This window comes from Homo sapiens, chromosome 9 (assembly GCF_000001405.40).
Source record: "Homo sapiens chromosome 9, GRCh38.p14 Primary Assembly".
Lineage (NCBI taxonomy): Eukaryota > Metazoa > Chordata > Mammalia > Primates > Hominidae > Homo > Homo sapiens.
Genome location: NC_000009.12, coordinates 105,158,450 through 105,177,662, shown reverse-complemented (window position 1 = coordinate 105,177,662; position 19,213 = coordinate 105,158,450). Strand labels below are relative to the sequence as shown.

Here is a 19,213-nt window from a genome sequence, read left to right as displayed (position 1 = left end):
CCTTATTTAAATACCTACATCAAACTGCTTAGTCTATTTCACTTTATTTCTTAAGCCTCTCTGTTTTTTGTTGTTGCTACATTAAGACTTTCTTAGGAATTTGCCTAGATTCAGCTAACCGTCCCTCTACTTCCTTCTTCAGAAGACTCTTCTTTGTGTCTCCTGGGGCATTTTAAATATTATTTAACATAGAATATACTGAAAGACTCGGATACCTCTGAGGTCACAAATAATAAAAGGGAATGTACCAGAAGATCACCTGGAGTGATGGTTTCTACGACAAGCAGCCTGGTGGAAAGAACTTATGTGTCAGATGGCTCTGAAAGGGAATCAGGAGTCTAAATGTACTAGGTATTTGACCTTAGACATGTTATTTTATTATTTATTTATTTTTGAGATGGAGTTTTGCTCTTGTGGCCCAGGTTGGAGTGAAATGGCATGCTCTCAGCTCACTGCAACCTCTGCCTCCTGGGTTCAAGCGATTCTCTTGCCTCAGCCTCCCAAGTAGCTGGGATTACCGGCACCCACAACCACACCTGGCTAATTTTTGTATTTTTGGTAGAGATAGGGTTTCACCACATTGGTCAGGCTGGCATTGAATTCCTGATCTCAGGTGATCCACCCACCTTGGCCTCCCAAAGTGCTGGGATTACAGGCATGAGCCACCGCGGCCAGCCCTTAGACATGTTATTTAGTGTTATTGGGCCTCAGTTTCCTCATCAAAAAGAATGAGAATAATACCTACTTTATAGTGTGGCTTTAAGAATTAGAAACAATGTTCGTGTAGTTGTTGCAGCATAGCAGCTACTTAATAAATGAAAGCAATTATTATCATCCTTCCAAGAATGCCAAAGTTAGGAGACCTGGTGGGGAGAAGAGGAGGTTTAGGAATTCTTTCCTAAGGTGTCCTGAGCTGGCAACAATGGTAGTAGGAGTCCCTGGTCCTAAACAAATGTTGCCATCTAGTTCCCTTTACAGCCATCAGCGGTAAAAGAAACATGCTGGCAATGTTTAAAACTCAAAAAAAAAAAAAAAAAAAAAAAAAAGAAGCAGGAAATGGACTGAGTGAGAATCAAATAGACAAGACTGAAAGAAACAACATTTGTCACTCTCAACTAGGATACAGATCACCTCGCTTCATAAACCAGAAATTGAGGCTCATAGAAGTAAAATAGAGTAGTATTTAGGAGCTCAGACTTTGGAGCCAGACTGCAAGACATGCTCTAAATGTGTTTCAGTTTCCTTACCTGAAAATGAGGATTTATCAGTCAGGATAGGCTAGGTTATGCTGTGGTAACAGACAATTCCAGAAATCTCCAAGACAGATAACAAACATTTATCTCTTGTTCATACTTTCTGTGCTTCATGAGTTGGCCATGGCTCCATACCAAGCTTTCTTTTTTTTTTTTTTTTGAAATGGAGTTTCGCTCTTGTTGCCTAGGCTGGAGTGCAATGGCATGGTCTCGGCTCACTGCAACCTCTGCCTCCCAGGTTCAAGCGATTCTCCTGCCTCAGCCTCTCAAGTAGCTGGGATTACAGGCACCTGCCACCAAGCCTAGCTAATTTTTGTATTTTTAGTAGAGATGGGGTTTCACCATGTTGACCAGGCTGGTCTTGAACTCCTGACCTCAGGTGATCTGCCTGCCTCAGCCTTCCAAATTGCTGGGATTACAGGTGTGAGCCACCGCATCCAGCCCATTCCAAGCATTCTTCATCCTCAGACAGAGCCACCACTAGCTGGGACACTGCCAGTCATCGTGGCATAGGAAAGGAGAACACGGCCAAGCACTCACTGATTTTTAATCCTTCTTGTTTGGAAGTGTCACATCACCCTTTATGACTTTTATTGGCCAAAGAAAGTCATGGGGTCACTCCTCTGTTCGACAGGGTGGAGATGGTTTAAACCTCCTACCAGCAAGAATTCTGAAGAAGGGAACCCAAAGTATTTGGTGAATAGTCATCTGGTTTACTACAGGTGATGATAATGATAATAAAAGACCCCCTTGTGGGATGTCCTGACAACTGAGTTATTATTACACATAAAGAACTTAGAAGGGCGAGTGATGCAGTGATGCACATTTTTTTTTTCTGAGACAGAGTCTTGTTGCCCAGGCTGGAGTGCAATGGAGTAATATCGGCTCACTGGAAACTCCGCCTCCCAGGATCAAGTGAATCTCCTGCCTCAGCCTCCCGAGTAGCTGGGATTACAGGTGCATGCCACTACACCCAGCTAATTGTTGTATTTTTAGTAGAGATGGGCTTTTGCCATGTTGGCCAGGCTGGTCTTGAACTCCTGACCTCAGGTGATCCACCCACTGAGACTACAGGAGTGAGCCACCGCACCTGGCCACAGTGATGTGCATTGACTGTAACATGTGTTTGCTGTTATTATTGCTGACCATTATACAGGGGATTAGTGATGGAGCTAGTGAAATAGATCCCAGCTGTCCTAACTGAAAGGCAAAAAAAAAAAAAACCCTTGTATTTGTACTGAGAGCTATGGATCCACAGACAACCAAGGGCAAAACACATGTAAAAACTGTCATAAAGCAGGTTTTAAAAAGAGAGTGAGGAAGCTGAGGGAGAAAGGATAGAGGGAAAGTGAAGGAGAAAGAAAGAAGTGAGAGCGAGAGGGAGAGGGAAAGAAAAGAAGTAAAGGAAGAGGCCAGGCACGGTGGCTCACGCCTGTAATCCCAGTACTTTGGGAGGCCAAGGTGGGTGGATCACTTGAGCTCAGGAGTTCGAGAGCAGTCTGGCCAACGTGATGAACCCCCATGTCTACTGAAAGTATAAAAATTAGCCAGGCGTGGTGGTGCAGGCCTGTAGTCCTAGCTACTCAGGAGGCTGAGGCAGGAGAATCGTTTGAACCTGGGAGGCGGAGGTTGTAGTGAGCTGAGATCGCGTCACTGCATTCCAGCCTGGACGACAGAGTGAGAATCTGCTCAAAAAAACAAACAAAAAAAAAGTGAAGGAAGAGAGAGACACCACCCAGGGACAGAAACTTCAGGGAGACGGGGGACTCAATAACTCCTGAAGCACCATGGTAAGAAGCTAAGCTGCCTTTGTCAATTCCTTCTTTTGGTTTGGACTGGTCTTTCTAGTAGGCTTGTTTTGCCTTTCATTAAACTACTGATTTCCTTCTGCAGCTAGCACCTCTTCCTTTAATTGTTCTCATCAACTTGAGTCAATGGTGGATGGAATGGTCAGGGCACTCACTGAGAAAGGAAATTTCCCCCGGATTCTAGCCTTAGGTGATGAGAGCAATCCTGTCTCAGTTGTATTCAGTGCTGGGGTAAGATCAAGTTGAAAGTTAGGCTCAGGTAGAGGGCTGGACCGCTCTCTTCCCAGGCTCCCAACTGTGACACAGGGTGCAGTGGTAGAAGGTAGGGATGCTGCCTGAATGTGGGACAGGGGATTGTCCCTGAGTCTGCTTACTGGGGCCAATAATAAGAACTAACCTTCGAATATCATTATGTGTACAACACTACTAAGTGCTCACATCTATTAACTCATTAAATCCACAACTCTAGGCTGTATGGTATTGCTTCCATTTTACAAATGCAGAAACTAAGGACACATTGGCACGTAGCTTGCCTGAACTCACGCACACAGTTCACAGCAAGCAGCTGAGCTGGGATGTGAATTCTGGCAGTTTGCTCAGAATCCACGCTCTTGACAACTATAATGCAACATCCTCCTTTCTATTGCCTGCTTGGGGTCCTACTTCAATTTTTTGTGGCCTAATAAAGAGAGTCCTTCTTTTAGGTTCTGGACATACAAAACTTAGAATTTAGTTTGAGGGGCTCATCCTTTCCATGCTTATAAGCAAAGAAAGGATTTTTTGCTCATAAAAGAACAACTTACTGCTTTAAAAAAAATGCTGCTAATTATTATTACTTTGGCTTCATTTGCCATTAATTTGTCTCCAAGAAACACAATCAGCACAAACATTGAGAGCTTCCTTATAGCCTACCAGGAGAGTGTTGGTGGGTCTCAGCAAAGTGTTCCCTTTTGGGAGGTGGCTCCCCAGAGCCCTCGGACACAATCTGCTCCCAGATCCTCTCAAGCGTCAATCTGCACTGATTGCCTGTTCTCAACTCCCACAGGCAACCTGCCTCCTCTTGACTATCAATAGCTGTCACAGCCTAATTTGATTGCTGAGTCAGACAATCAGTCTTAATTGCCTGTTTCCACCTCCAGCTGTGTCTCTTGTGGGCGGAAAAGCCTCTCTCTTGGTGCACTGCCCTTCCCCCTGGATCAGAAGCCCAGGTAGCGGTCCAGGCCACCTGTAGGATCATCTGCAACTTCTGATCCCACAGGTTCCCCATTTTCCTGGGCTGGACCTGGAGGGAGGTGAGGGTTTTGTTCACACACTGAGTCTCTGCTATTAGCCTGTACACCACCCTCACTTGGTCCTGCTCTAGTAGCAGTAAGTTCTTTTATAAGCAAAGAATACTTTCTATGGGGTGGAGAGAATGAGCCCCTGAAACTAAATTCTAAGTTTTGTATGTCCAGAGCCTAAAATCAGGGCTCACCTGCTTTATTAGGCCACAAAAAATTTAAGTGGGGCCGGGCGCAGTGGCTGACGCCTGTAATCCCAGCACTTTGGGAAGCCGAGGCAAGCAGATCACTTGAGGCCAGGAGTTCAAGAACAGCCTGGCCAAAACATGGCGAAACCCCACCTCTACTAAAAATATAAAAATTAGCCAGGTGTGGTGGCGCTTGCCTGTAGTCCCAGCTATTCAGGAGGCTGAGGCATGAGAATTGCTTGAACCTGGGAGGTGGAGGTTGCCATGAGCCAAGATTGAGCTCCAGCCTGGGCATCAGAGTAAGACTCTGTCTCAAAAAAACAAAAAAAGAAAAAGAAAAAAAAATTGAAGTGGGACCCCCAAGCAGGGATTAGAAAGGAGGATGTTACGTTATAGTCATCAAGAGCGTGGATTCTGAGCAAACTGCCAGAATTCATGTCCCAGCTCATCTGCTTACTATGAACTGTGTGCGTGGGCCTGTATCCTCTTTTTGGCTCTACAGACTCACTCTTGCTGTTCTCCAGGCTGCTACCTGTCCCGGGAGCCTGACCTTTAAGGATCAAAGGGCTTCTTTGCTTTTTGGCTTCTGGCTGGGTTTGGGGAGTGAGCAGCCGGAGAGAAGACCTGAGGGAGTCAGGACATGTATTCCCCTAGCATCCTCCCTGTGGGATTTCTTCACATTCTTCCAGATGGAAGGTCAGGCCTTCTCTCAAGGGGTCTTCTCATGACTTTCTGGATTCTATTACGGGCTTCCCTCCCTTGCTTTCAGAGTGTGCTGCAGATGAATTATTGGACTTAATTCTTCACCCCTCCTGGTTTCCATGCTCTTTGCCTGAATGTGACTTTGTAGTTACTCCCCGCCAAAAAGGAGGGATATATTGCCCCTTGCGTTTGGGCTTGGTTTTATGACTAGCTTTGGCCCATGAGATGTGGGTACACCCAACCATCTGCGCCAGTTTCAAGCCTAAGCCTTTAGGAAAAGCCTTAGCATTAAGAGGAAAGCCATTGCATGGGGGTTGTTTTGTTTTGTTTTGTTTTTGTGCCTGTCATCTTCACAGGAAGAGCTTCCCCTGGGCAACTGCTGCCTCTTTAGTCTGGGGCCCAGAATGAACACATGTGGAGTAGCCCAGAGCTTGATCGACAAAGAGGAGCCAAGCCCAGGTGGAGACACCAGCTTGAAACAGAGCCCCCAGCTGACCGCCATTCAACCTGTATGCCCATGAGAAATACATGCGCATGGCTGCATTCCACCAAGAGCATGAGAGAAAGCTGGTGACATCCGCTGCTACCAGCACAGGCATCCCTGCAGGACTCCTTGTGCTTTCTCTACACTCTGCTTCTACTCCATAAATACTTCCTTTACTAAGCCCTCAGGGAACCATCCTAATTTGAGTGTCAGCTGTTTCCTGTACTGACACTGAATGAATGATACAAGCACTGGGCCCAGTCCAGCCCCACAGCCATGTCACATTGTCAGCAAAAGTTCAAAATACTACACTTGAGACCAACTGCCCCTACCCCCATTTGTTTCCCATTTGCTATTTAAACTGAAACCCTTATCTTAGAAGCTGGTCATGAGATCTTATTTTATCTTTTTTATGTGTTAGTTTTTAGAATTTCAACTTGTTATTTGGAAAAAATTTCAAACATATGCACAAGTAGAGACAGCATTATAACAAACACCTATGTACCTGTGATCCAGCTTCAACAATGATGGACATTTTGCCACTCTTATTTGATCTATTCCCCTACTGTTTTTTTTTTTCTCTCTAAATCTAATGACCTTTCAAATTCCAGAGGAATCTAGAGATTCCATCGTACTTCTAATCTTCTGTAATCTCTTGGCAGCATTTGCTGCTATTGCTCACTCTTGCCAATCTGCCATTGCTGTCTCCTAGTTCTTTTATCTCTTGTGACTGCTCTCCATTTCCAGTTTTTGACTCCTGGTCTGGCTCTTAAATGTCAGTGTTCCTGAGGGTTGGCCTTGTTCTTCACCATCTTCTTTCTCTCTATGCTGCCTTCCTGAGTGGTCTCATTCACTCCTATGGCTTAATCTGTAAGCCCACTCCATTTTCCTGGGCTATCCTTTCTGTCTGTCCACTAAGGATCTTCACTTGGAGGTCTGTAAACCCTTCACACTGAGCATGTCCAGCCCCAGCCAAACTTCACAACTTCTTCTCGAACCTTCTCCCTCTCCACTTCTTTTTCTGGATTCTTTCATACCTTCTCTAGTACCCTGCCACATAACTAGATATTGTACACCTCTCCTTACCCAGAGCTGACTATTCCACTTCTGAATGGTCTTTCCAATCCTTCCCCTGTTTCCATTTCCACCCCCTTGATTAAGACCCTCATCGTCTCTCACTTGGGACATTTTAATATTCCCTCTGACTATTCTCTAATGGCTGTTTCCTCTGCTAAGTAGTAGCATCACTTTTCTAAATCACATTATCAAAACATGTTAACCCCAGCTCCAACTTATAAATCTTCTATGGTTCCATTCAGGATATATTCTAAACATTTTGGCATGACATTGAAACCTCTTCACACCTTTTTTTCCTTTTTCTTTCTTTCCTTTTTTTTTTTCTTTTTGAGACGGAGTCTCGCTCTGTCACCTAGGCTAGAGTGCAGTGGCGCGATCTTGGCTCACTGCAACCTCCACCTCCCGGGTTCAAGCAATTCTCCTGCCTCAGCCTCTCAAGTAGCTGGGATTACAGGCATGTGCCAACACGCCCAGCTTTTTTTTTTTCTATTTTTAGTAGAGATGAGGTTTCACCATATTGGCCAGGCTGGTCTTGAACTCCTGACCTTGTGATCCGCCCACCTTGGCCTCCCAAAGTGCTGGGATTACAGGCATGAGCCACTGTACCCAGCCCTTTCACCACCCTTTTTTCTAATCTCACCTCCTGACATTGTCCTCTGTGTACCCTGTCCTCCAAATAATGTGGCTTTGCTTTTTTGTCCCCTAACATATCATGCTTTCATGTGGCCTTTGACATGCTGACCACTGTCTTGTTTTGTAGGATAAAAAATGAGGTTCTAGTTCTCAAATAACAAACACCTATGTACCCATGAACAAAGGTGTTTATTGTTTGAGATTTCGAAGTGCCCCTTCCACAGCTCTTGCCCTTCTGAGATTCTTGATGGCATTTGAATTTGTTCCTCCCAGAGGAAATTGTCAACATGGTATTTAACTTTTTTTTTTTTTTTTTTTTGGCGACAGAGTCTCACTCTGTAGTCCAGGCTGGAGTGCAGTGGTGTGGTCTTAGCTCAGTGCAACCTCCGCCTCTTGGGTTCAAATGATTCTTGTGCCTCAGCCTCCCAAGTAGTTGGGATCACAGGCACGCGGCACCATGACCAGCTATTTTTTTGTATTTTTGGTAGAGATGGGATTTCGCCCTGTTGGTCAGACTGGTCTTGAACTCCTGACCTCGTGATCCGCCCACCTTGGCCTCACAAAGTGCTGGGATTACAGGCATGAGCCACCGCACCCAGTCCGTATTTAACTTTTTGAGCAATCTCCTTAGAATTTCTCTGTTCAAAAGGGGCCCATTTGCCATGGTAATGGTATTGTCTCCACAGACATACTGGCAATATAAAGTTTCTAACTCTTCTGTAGGACTTTGGGTGTCCCTGAGGCAGAAATGATGTGTTACTCATCTTTTTATATATCCCCAGTGCCTGGCACATATGAAATACTCAGTGTTTGTTTGAACTGCATCTAAATTAGTATTGAGACTAGGGAGTAGGATCTGGAGAAGGCACAAATGTTGCCAACCAATTGCAGAGAAAGCTGCCAAACATATAATCTATGAGCTGGGAGGCTGGGGTCACACCATTCCCTGCAGTGAGGGCCTCCAAGCCTGTCGGATGTCAGTTGCATCTGCAAAACTAGGAGTTCAGGGGGAAGGTTGGATTTTTCTTTATTAAACTTGTCATTCCCTAAGGTGGGGCTCTGACAGAAGCCCAGTGAGATGTCAAGCTAAGACAGCTGTTGCCAAACCTGGTGGAGGCATTTCAGACAGCTGGGGATACAGCTGCTGCCGCAGACTTCATTTGCAACAGCCTTTTCTTCTTTAAGGAGGTCAAAATGCTTAACAAATACATAGCAATAGTAAAGCAGCTATGGTATGATGCAGACAGAATTGGATCTGAGTCAGATCACGTGGATCAAGTATCAACTCTACTTCTTATTAGCTGTGTGACTTTGAACAAGTTATGCCACCCCTTTGAGCCTCATTTTCCATACTCATAATACTGACTGCTGTGAAGACTGAATGAGGTAATGTATATGTAAATGTTTTATAAACTGTAGAGCACTGCTCAACTATTAGGTATAATTGGAATACATTAAAATTACATTTAGTCTTCATCTCTCACACACACACATATACACACAGAGTATAGAATAGTGTAATGATTAATTACATGTCAGCTTGACTGGGTCATAGGATAGCCAGGTGTTTGGTCAAACATTATTTTGGGCATGTCTGTGAGAGTGTTTTTGGATGAGATTAACATTTGACTTAATCCCAGCTACTCGGGAAACTGAAGCAGGAGGATTGCTTGGGGCCAGGAGTTCAAGGCTAGCCTAGGCAACATAGTGAGATCCTGTCTCTAAAAAAATAATAAAATTATTTGGGCTTGGTGGCATGTGCCTGTAGCCCCAGCTACTCAGGAGGCTAAGGTGGGAGAATCACTTGAGCCCGGGAGTTCAAGGCTGCAGTGAACTATGATCATGCCACTTGCACTCTAGCCTGGGTAACAGAGTGAGATCTGATCTCTAAAAAAAAAAAAAGCAGATTGCCATCCCTAATTTGCTGGGCCTCACCTAATCAATTGAAGACCTGAATAGGACAAAAGGTCTGAAGAAGTGGGAGCTCCTCCTACCTGACTGTTTGAGCTGGAACATAAGTCTTTTCCTGTCTTCAGGCTTGAATTAAAAAACCAGCTCTTCCTGGGTCTTGAGCCTGCTGGCTTTTGGATTGGTATTTACACCATTGACTCTCCTAGTTCTCAGGCCTTCAGACTCAGACAGATACTTAAAGCATTGAGTCTCCTTGTTCTCAGGGTTTTGGACTTGGATTGGGACTATACCATCGGCTCATCTGCATCTCCAGCTTGTGGACTGCAGATTTTGGGGCTCTCAGCCCCCAAAATTCTGGGAGCCGATTACTTATAATTATCTATCTATCTATCCAGCCATCCATCCATCCTATCTATCAACTATCTGATATGGTTTGCTGTGTTCCCACCCAAATTTCATCTTGAATTGTGATCCCCACGTGTCATGGGAGAGACCAAGTAGGAGATAATTTAATCATGTGGGCGATTACCCTCAGGCTGTTCTTGTGGCAGTGAGTGAGTTCTCACAAGATCCGATGGTTTTATAACGGGCTTTTCCCACTTTTGCTTAGCACTTCTCCTTGCTGCTGCCATGTGAAGAAGGACGTGCTTGCTTCCCCTTCCACCATGATTTTAAGTTTCCTGAGGCCTCCCAAGCCCTTTGAAACTGTGAGTCAATTAAACCTATTTCCTTTATAAACTACCCAGTCTTGGTTATGTCCTTATAGCAACGTGAGAACAGCCTAATACACTATCTCCTATTGGTTCTGTTTCTCTGGAGACCCCTGACTAATGCAAATGGTCAAATTGCGTCAAATTTGCTTATTGTCTATTGTATGCCCAGCTCTCCACTGGGAACTGTGATCAATGCATAAGTTAATATAAGTCATATTTTCCTGATATTAAGAAATTTACAGTTGATTTGGGAGATGAGATCAATTTATTCCTCAATCCTTGTGTTTTTATAGAGGGGAAGACATTTCTACTCCACAATCATGTAGAGCATTTTTCGTGTTTCTTCACTCATTCTTCCCAGGGGATGAGAAGGAACTTCTATGATTAGTGAGCTTGGGCAAAAGTGTTGCTGTGATGAGCGTGGTGGCTGAGCACCTGTTGGTTTCTCATTTCCTAAACTGATAATTGAGAATGCATGCGTTCTGTATTCTTTGCCACAAAAGTAAGCCTTTGCATCAGATGGGATTGGAAAAGAATGATGGTTGTCCAGATCTTTCTGTGACTATATTGGTAGCTTAAGTTCTGGAGAAAAGTATTGGGAGGTGCATTGTACTTTGGCATTTAATACCAGTTCTTATTCTTGATCTCATCCTAAGATATGTTTATTTCTTTAAATATTTACCATCCTGATCTCCTTCCATTTTGGGGGAAGCAACAAGGTACAGATCAACCCTACAAAAAAGAAGGGTATCATGTTTTATGAGCTGCTTCATGATTGGCAAATCCACCACTGCCCACAGTGGAGCTGATCTTTCTTATTATTTTGTAGAGGAATATTAGTGTCTTTCATTAGTCACCTCCTGCTTTCACGACTTTGTCTCTTCTCAAGCTTGCCAGAAATAATAAATTGGGTCCATTAGAGAACCACATGCCACCTGATGGCCACTACCAAGATTACCCAAAGACCAGGTGAAAGCATTGAATTTGCTTGTGTGGGCATAAACAAAGTTCTATCCTCTTCTTCTTTTCTTTTTTTTTTTTTAGACAGAGTCTCACTGTAACCTCTGCCTCCCAGGTTCAAGCAATTCTTGTGCCTCAGCCTCCCAAGTTGCTGGGATTACAGGCGCACACCACCACACATGGCTAATTTTTGTGTGCACACACCACACATGGCTACTTTAGTAGAGATGGCCATTTAGTAGAGATGGCCACCATGTTGGCCAGGCTGGTCTCAAACTCCTGACCTCAAGTGATCCACCCACCTTGGCCTCCCAAAGTGCTGGGATTACAGGCATGAGCCACTATGCCTGGCTGGCTCTATCCTCTTGCCCTGTGGTCTGGGGTGGAGTAGAGGGAGTGAAGTGATGGGGAGGGAAGTTTCATTCTTTATTTTTCCAGAATAGCTTCGTTTGGATTATTTTATTCTTCTAATTTTTAGAGTCTTGGCTTTCATTTAAAAATTAATGTTTAAGGGACAGGTAGAAAGTATATCCATCTGGGTAGCAGTGGGGAAGGTAATGGACATTCTAAATAAGGGGGTCTGGATGACATTTTTCTTCTCTAATATTTTCCAACACTTCTGGCTCCCACCATGGCCATTGTTTTATATTTGTTGGTTTGTCCAACATTGTCCAACCTATCCTTCTTTGAATAATAAATCCCACTCCCTGACCACAGGAATGGATACACGATGCTTGTTAGTTAATCTAGCTAACAAGCATCCACCCTTCTGGGCACAGTGATTGACTTGAGGGGTAGGAACATATTCAAGCCAGGCCAATGAGGGATTTAAATTTTTTCAACATTTACAAAATATTATATTATTTATATGAATATTAAACTTCCTTTAAAACTTAAAATTATGGTATGTATAAAATACAAAATGATAGTACATGTGCAGTTTAAAGAGTAACATTAAATGAATACTCACACCACACCATCTAGGTTAAGAAACAGAATATTAGTGATTAGTAGTAACTTGTTTTATGAATTTGATGTCCTTTTTTCAATTATGTCCCTCTTCCTGCTATATGTAAGCTCTAAAATACAAAAAAGTACTATATGTTGTTGAATAAACATTTAAACAACATGCATAAAATAATAAACTCCAAATTCAAGACAGTGGTTACCTCTCTGAAGGAAGGGGAATGGGATTCGGTTGGAGTACACGGTGGTTCAACTGTATTTGTAGGGTTTTCTGTTTGTTTTGTTTTGTTTTGTTTGTTTGTTTTTGAGATGGAGTCTTGCTCTGTCGCCCAGACTGGAGTGCAGTGGTGTGATCATGGCTCACTGCAACATCCGCCTCCCAGGTTCAAGCAATTCTCTGCCTCAGCCTCCTGAGTAGCTGGGATTACAGGCATCCGCCACCACACCTGGCTAATTTTTATATTTTTAGTAGAGATGGGGTTTCATCATCTTGGCCTTGAACTCCTGACCTTGTGATCCACCCAACTCGGCCTCCCAAAGTGCTGGAATTACAGGCATGAGCCACCGTGCCCGGCCTGGCTTGGTTTTTCTTGAGACAGAGTCTCACTCTGTCGCCCAGGCTGGAGTGCAGTGGCATGATCTTGGCTCACTACAACCTCCGCCTCCCAGGTTCAGGCAATTCTTGTGCCTCAACCTCTCAAGTAGCCGGGACCATAGGCACGTGCCACCACACCTGGCTAATTTTTGTATTTGTAGTAGAAATGGGGTTTCACCATGTTGGCCAGGCTGGTCTCAAGCTCCTGACCTCAAGTGATCCTCTCGCCTTGGCCTCCCAAAGTGCTGGGATTCCAGGCATGAGCCACCATGCCCAGCCAGGTTTTATTTTTTTTTAAATGATGTCAGAGAAATGGGGAAAAATGCTTAGATCTAACTAGATATTTATTATATTATTCCCAGAGGGCATAAAGGTAAAATGGCACAATGGATGAACTGCACACATTCAGGGGCCAGACTGGTTTAGATTCAGTTTTGACTTAGTAAACTGCTATAGAAATTGCATAAATTACTCAGTCTCTCTGTGACTCAGTTTTTCTCAACTATAAAATAGGGATCATAATAATACTTATTGACAGTATTGTGAAGATTGCATTACTTAGTTTATGGAAAGTATTGGAATAATGTTTGGTATATAATAAGCATTTGATAAGTATTAATTATTTTAGTAGTAGTTTTACATATTTCATAAGCTTTTCTCAAGAAAGTGAAAGCATATATATATACCCAATCCCAAAACTATAGATCCACAGTCATTTATTTGAAGCTCTTGGGGAAGATAAGTTTCATAATTCAGAATTTGGGGTTGTATATTATACAACACTAGTGGGGTCTAGGGGAGACCTCCCTAATGAAACACATTATTATTTTTGCATTGAAAATTATGAATATTCACTAAGTGGGATAAATAAACACTCTAAATAGCTTCATGTCAGTTCAGATCAGGTTTTACCACCAGACGAATTTGCTGTAAATGTACCAAAAACATTCAGTTTTCAGAATGTTTTGGATCTAAAATTGCATATAAGGGATTGTAGATCTGTACTTCAATGCATCTACCTGATGAATACTAGTTTGTCCTTACAAAGAATGAGATAGACCTATACATACTGAAATGGAAAGGTATATTGTTAAGTAATAATACTATATATGTTATAGTAGTTGGCAACTGACCGAACAGTACATATTGCCTTATCTTTGTCATATTTATAAAAACAGACATCTGTATTTTCATACATATATATGATAAATGTATTGAAAATAGACTGGAAAGATACCTGCCAAACAGTTGAGAGTGGTCACCTCTGGAGAGGGGATGGGGAAGGCTAAAGGCGAGCTGCCACCTTTTTCTCTGTATACTTCTGAATTTGTCTTCTATGAGAAGGTGTTCACACATATCTAGGTAATAAAAATGAAAAGGCCAGGTGCGGTGGCTCATGCCTGTAATCCCTGCACTTTGGAAGGCTGAGGTGGGATCACAAGGTCAGGAGTTCGAGACCAGCCTGGTCAATATGGTGAAACCCCATCTCAGCTAAAAATACAAAAAAAATAGCCAGGTGTGGTGGCGGGCACCTGTAGTCCCAGCTACTCAAGAGGCTGAGACAGGAGAATCGCTTGAACCCAGGAGGCAGAGGTTGCAGTGAGCCAAGATCACACCACTGCACTCCAGCCTGGGTGACAAAGCAAGACTCCATCTCCGAAAAGAAAAAAAAAACTGCTTAGAAAAACGAAATCAGGGAAGTGTTGTGGAGAGCCTGAGAAGTCTGTATTTAAATCTAAACTTGAGGAGCTATGGATATGTTTGAACTAAGTAGTAACAGCAGCCTCAGGAGAAAAAGTAGTTGGAACAATATGGTTTGGATTTACCTATCGAAAGAAGCGATATTGAGGATCAGTCTGAGTAAATTTTCCACTTGAGTTCCAGCTTCAGAATCAGCATAGTACTCTGAATTATTTCCCCAGTGCAACTGGGGAATAATGAAGTACCCAGGAGATGTTCTGTGGTGACAACAGAAATGAACCTAAAGGGCTTCTTAGCCTCTACCAGAGACCAGGAATGTTGCTGTGTCGCAGAAGGCAGGAGAAGAGAGGATTTCACCGAGGAACAGCAGGGTCAAGCGGGGCTTGCATTTGTGCCTCTGCCCAGTATATTCTCCACGCAGCAGTCAGGGGCATCTTTTAAAAGCACAAGCCTGGTTGTGCTACTACTTCAGTGGCTTCCCTAGAATATTCCTAAGTAGAGCTGGTGAGAAAGGGCCCTTGGTTCCTTTCTGGTTATAAGCCTAGAGTTCCTTGGGGTCATTTTTTCCTTCCATTCTCCTGCTGGAAAAAGGTGGCTTGAGAAAGAGATGCTGACAAAGCAGAGCAGTAGAGATGGAAAACAGAAAGGGAGGGCTAAGAGTATTTGAGTCCCTAAATCCAGTCTTACCTTGAGGCCCAGCTGGCTATCATTCTTTCTGAATTTGGCTACCATGTTTTTGCCCATGCTAGTTTGAGTTGGATTTTTTTCACTTGGAACCCAAAGACTCCTGAATAAAACCCTCCTCTTCAGTGCTGGATTCCCTGGAACGTTTAACTGGGACTCAAATTTGATCTGCGTTAGCAGTACACTTGAACTGTTGTACTGGTGAGGTTGTTGAGCCTAACAGTCTCTAGTCTCTGCCTTATGCAAACAAAGAATGCTACATAGCTGAAGGGAAAGGAGTGGGAGTGACTCCAGGAGTCATCACGTTTAAATCTGAATAGGTGTTGGCTGGGCACAGTGGCTCACGCCTGTAATCCCAGCACTTTGGGAGGCCGAGGTGGGTGGATCACCTGAGGTCAGTAGTTCGAGACTAGCCTGATCAATAGGGTGAAACCTCGTCTCTACTAAAAATACAAAAATTAGTTGGTCATGGTGGCTCATGCCTGTAATCCCAGCTACTTGGGAGGCTGAAGCAGGAGAATCACTTGAACCGGGGAGGCAGAGATTTCAGTGAGCTGAGATGGTGCCACTGCACTCCAGCCTCTGTCTTAACAAAAAAAACAACAAAAAAGTCTTTCTTATTTTACTGTATTTTTTCTTTTCTTTCTTTCTTTCTTTCTTTCTTTTTTTTTTTTTGAGACGGAGTCTCGCTCTCTCACCCAGGCTGGAGTGCAGTGGTGCGATCTCAGCTCACTGCAAGCTCCACCTCCCGGGTTCACGCCATTCTCCTGCCTCAGCCTCCCAAGTAGCTGGGACTACAGGCGCCCACCACCACGCCCAATTTTTTGTATTTTTAGTAGAGATGGGGTTTCATCGTATTAGCCGGCATGGTCTCGATCTCCTGACCTCGTGATTTGCCCACCTCTGCCTCCCAAAGTGCTGGGATTACAGGCGTGAGCCACCGCGCCCGAACATTTTACTGTATTTTTTTCAAAGTCTCTTGTTGGTAGTGATCTGATTCTTATCAAACTTTTTCATTGTTAACTCTACTAGTACTATTCAATTTGAATACACTCAAAACAGAGGCCACTCAATTTTATAAAAGGAAACCTTCTAGTTCTCAAAATTCCATTTTAATTTATGGTGGTTTGCTGTACTGTTCTTGTCTTTGCGTTATGCTCATTCTTAAAAAACTGTTTGTCTGGGTTTCTAGGTCAGAATTTTACATGTAGAGCAAATGGTCTTTATGCACATTTACTGTATTATTTGTTGAAGATGAAGTATGCGAAGATTTTCAAAGGATTGGGGGTAAATTTTACTCAATTTAAAGGTCAGAGGTTTACAATCATATGCTAAGCTATAGTGCATTTATAACTTTTATATCATTGTGTGTGTGTGTGTGTGTGTGTGTGTGTGTAAAATCACTGCATAAGGTCACCTTATGATAATTAGAATTTCTCTATTTCTGGTAGTTGTACTGTCTGAGTAATTCAAGCTGGAATTCTTTATTTGTCCCAAATTTGATATATAGATTTTGGTACTTGTTTATTGCCGCTCACTGTAGAAGTCCTGCATATTTAAGTAATACCTTGGTGCCAAGATTTTGGGAGCATCTAGATCATCTGGGAACTTTTGCAATTCTTATGAGTGGGTGTTAACATGTCACAAGATGCCAACATCCTATATGAAGGTAAAATAATCAGGTGAGACCCTGGAGGTGAAGCTCAAATTTGTGGATGACTCTGTGTGTGTGTGTGTGTGTGTGTGTGTGTGTGTATGTGTGTGGTGTCCAGGGAGGCCACAACTAGTAAGGGGAAAGGAAACCCAGAAGTGGTAACAACATTGGTCATTGTGTGGAATGATCTTGTGCAGAAATCTGGCAAGAAAAATATGACTGTAGCCTTTATTGACCTGCTATTGGCCTGTCACTCTAAGTAGCACGAGTTCAGTAGAGACACTGCATTATTGATGCTCCTACAAAACTTGCATTTTAATGCCCCTCAAGAATTCAGGATTGATAGAAATAGTGTTATAGCTTAATCAACTGAAACTGTAGATAAAAATAGATGGCTGCTGTCCTGGAACAGGAGGGTAAATGTCCTCCTGGGTGCTGATGAAATGGTTTTAATGTCATGGCCCAAGAATGTCCCTAGTAATTGGTTCTGAGTAATTAACCATTGTCAGTACTTTTAATGCAAAGTCTTCCAAAGATAATATCATAATTATTGGCAGATATTTCCCCAAATTCATTTGACTTAAATAACAAAATCCCCCACAAAACAACAATCACAACAAAACAGAACCCAAATCCATCTAACAAGTACAGTCATTCAATTTCCTTGAGACTCATTCATCCTGTCAAATCCACTGGAAAGCCATAGGATTTGTTGATATATTATTGAGAGTTTTAAATACCATTGGGGTAAATGTTGATATTTGCTTTGGATATTTTTTAGTTCATAGTAATCTCAACCATGCTTTATGGTATATAACTTTGTGCAGAGAGATTCAGCCCACTTCCTGAAGAAAAAAATTAACCTTGCCAGCAGATTAATTTCTATGTGGATCCTGGTTAGGCACCTCAATTTTAAAAATAGGGCAACAACATCACTACCTGTGCAAGTATGTTCTCACACAGCACTGGAGATGGTTCTTACTGGTTTGTTAGACTGTGTGCACCTTTCTCCACATCCATGTTCACTGATGTCAAGTTACTAGCTTGAAATTGGTTATAGCAGGAGTATTTACACCAGTGATTCTCAATGAGAAAGATTTTGCCCCCTAGGGCACATTTGACAATCTCTAGAGACATATTAATATTTTGTTGTCATAACTGGGGGGTTGCTACTGACATCTAGTGGGTAGAAGCCAGGGATGCTACTCAATATTCTTTAAAGGCCAGTGCTTCGTAAGAATTATCTGGCTCCAGGCCAGGTGCTGTGGCTCACACCTGTAATCCCAGCACTTTGGGAGGCCGAGGTGGGCGGATCACAAGGTCAGGAGATGGAGACCATCTTGGCCAACATGGTGAAACCCTGGCTCTACTAAAAATACAAAAATTAGCTGGACGTGGTGGCGTATCCCTGTAATCCTAGCTACTCGGGAGACTGAGGCAAGAGAATCACTTGAACCGGGGAGTCAGAGGCTGCAGTGAGCCGGTATCACACCACTGTACTCCAGCCTGGCAACAGAAAGAGACTCCGTCTAAAAAAGAATTATCTGGCTCCAAACACCAATGGTGTGGAGGTTAAGAACTCCTGATTTACACCATGGAAACTGGCAAACATTATAAGTTTGGACTTCCTTTTGTTTTCTTTCTTTCTCTTTTTTTTTTTTTTTTTTAAGAGTACCAGTTTATCAGCTTCTAAACCAAAAAGTGAATTCTTAGGACTTCATCACTATATCATCTGTAATTCTTATTAGAAGCCAGCTGGAGGAATGGATGTTTTTGGAAGACTGAAAGCCATGTTCTCCCTGGGTAATTCATACAGACCATGAATTGGCAAACTTTTTCTATAAAGGGCCAGAGAGTAAATATTTTAGGCTTCTCAGACCACACGGTCTCTGTTGCAACTACTTATGTCTGTCGTTATAGTGTGAAGACATCCATAGGACAATATTTAAATAAATGAGCACGGCTGTGCTCCAATAAAACTTTATTTACAAAGCAGGCTGATAGTTCACTGATCCCTGACTTAGACTATTAGTTTAGCCCCGTCTCAGACATTGCTTTCACGGAAGATTTATTCTGATGCCATGAGCCATCTGCTCAAGCTTTAAAAGCTTCCTCTCCAGCTCTTGCTGACACATTGGGCCAATATGAAAAGGTGGGCCAATATCAAAAGGTCCTACAGATGCCAGTCACTTAGATTTGTATTCTCTAATCTTGTCCATGAAGTTTCTACACAGGATCAATTTCCTTATTAAATGTCACTGCTGTTATCACCAATGTTCTTGGGAAAATGGACTGAAACTGCTGACAGAAGCACAGAGGAGACCCCAAAGAGCCTCTAAAGAATCATAGTGGGCGGGGCACAATGGCTCATGCCTGTAATCACAGCACTTTGGGAGGCAGGCTCACGCCTGTAATCACAGCACTTTGGGAGGCAGAAGCGGGCAGATCACCTGAGATCAGGAGTTCAAGACCAGCCTGGTCAACATGGCGAAACCCCATCTCTACTAAACGTACAAAAATTCGCTGGGCATGGTGGCAGATGCTTGTAATCCCAGCTACTCGGAAGGCTGAGGCAGGAGAATCACCTGAACCTGGGAGGTGGAA

At 43.1% G+C, this 19,213-nt stretch overlaps 1 annotated feature.

Annotated features, from left to right (window-relative positions):
* Nucleotides 3,827-4,415: an enhancer, noted in NCBI's record as "OCT4-NANOG hESC enhancer chr9:107935529-107936117 (GRCh37/hg19 assembly coordinates)". NCBI's record gives its function as "activates a minimal SCP1, AML or CMV promoter by ChIP-STARR-seq in primed H9 embryonic stem cells {active_cell/tissue: H9 hESC(primed)}" and the evidence as "EXISTENCE:reporter gene assay evidence [ECO:0000049][PMID:30033119]".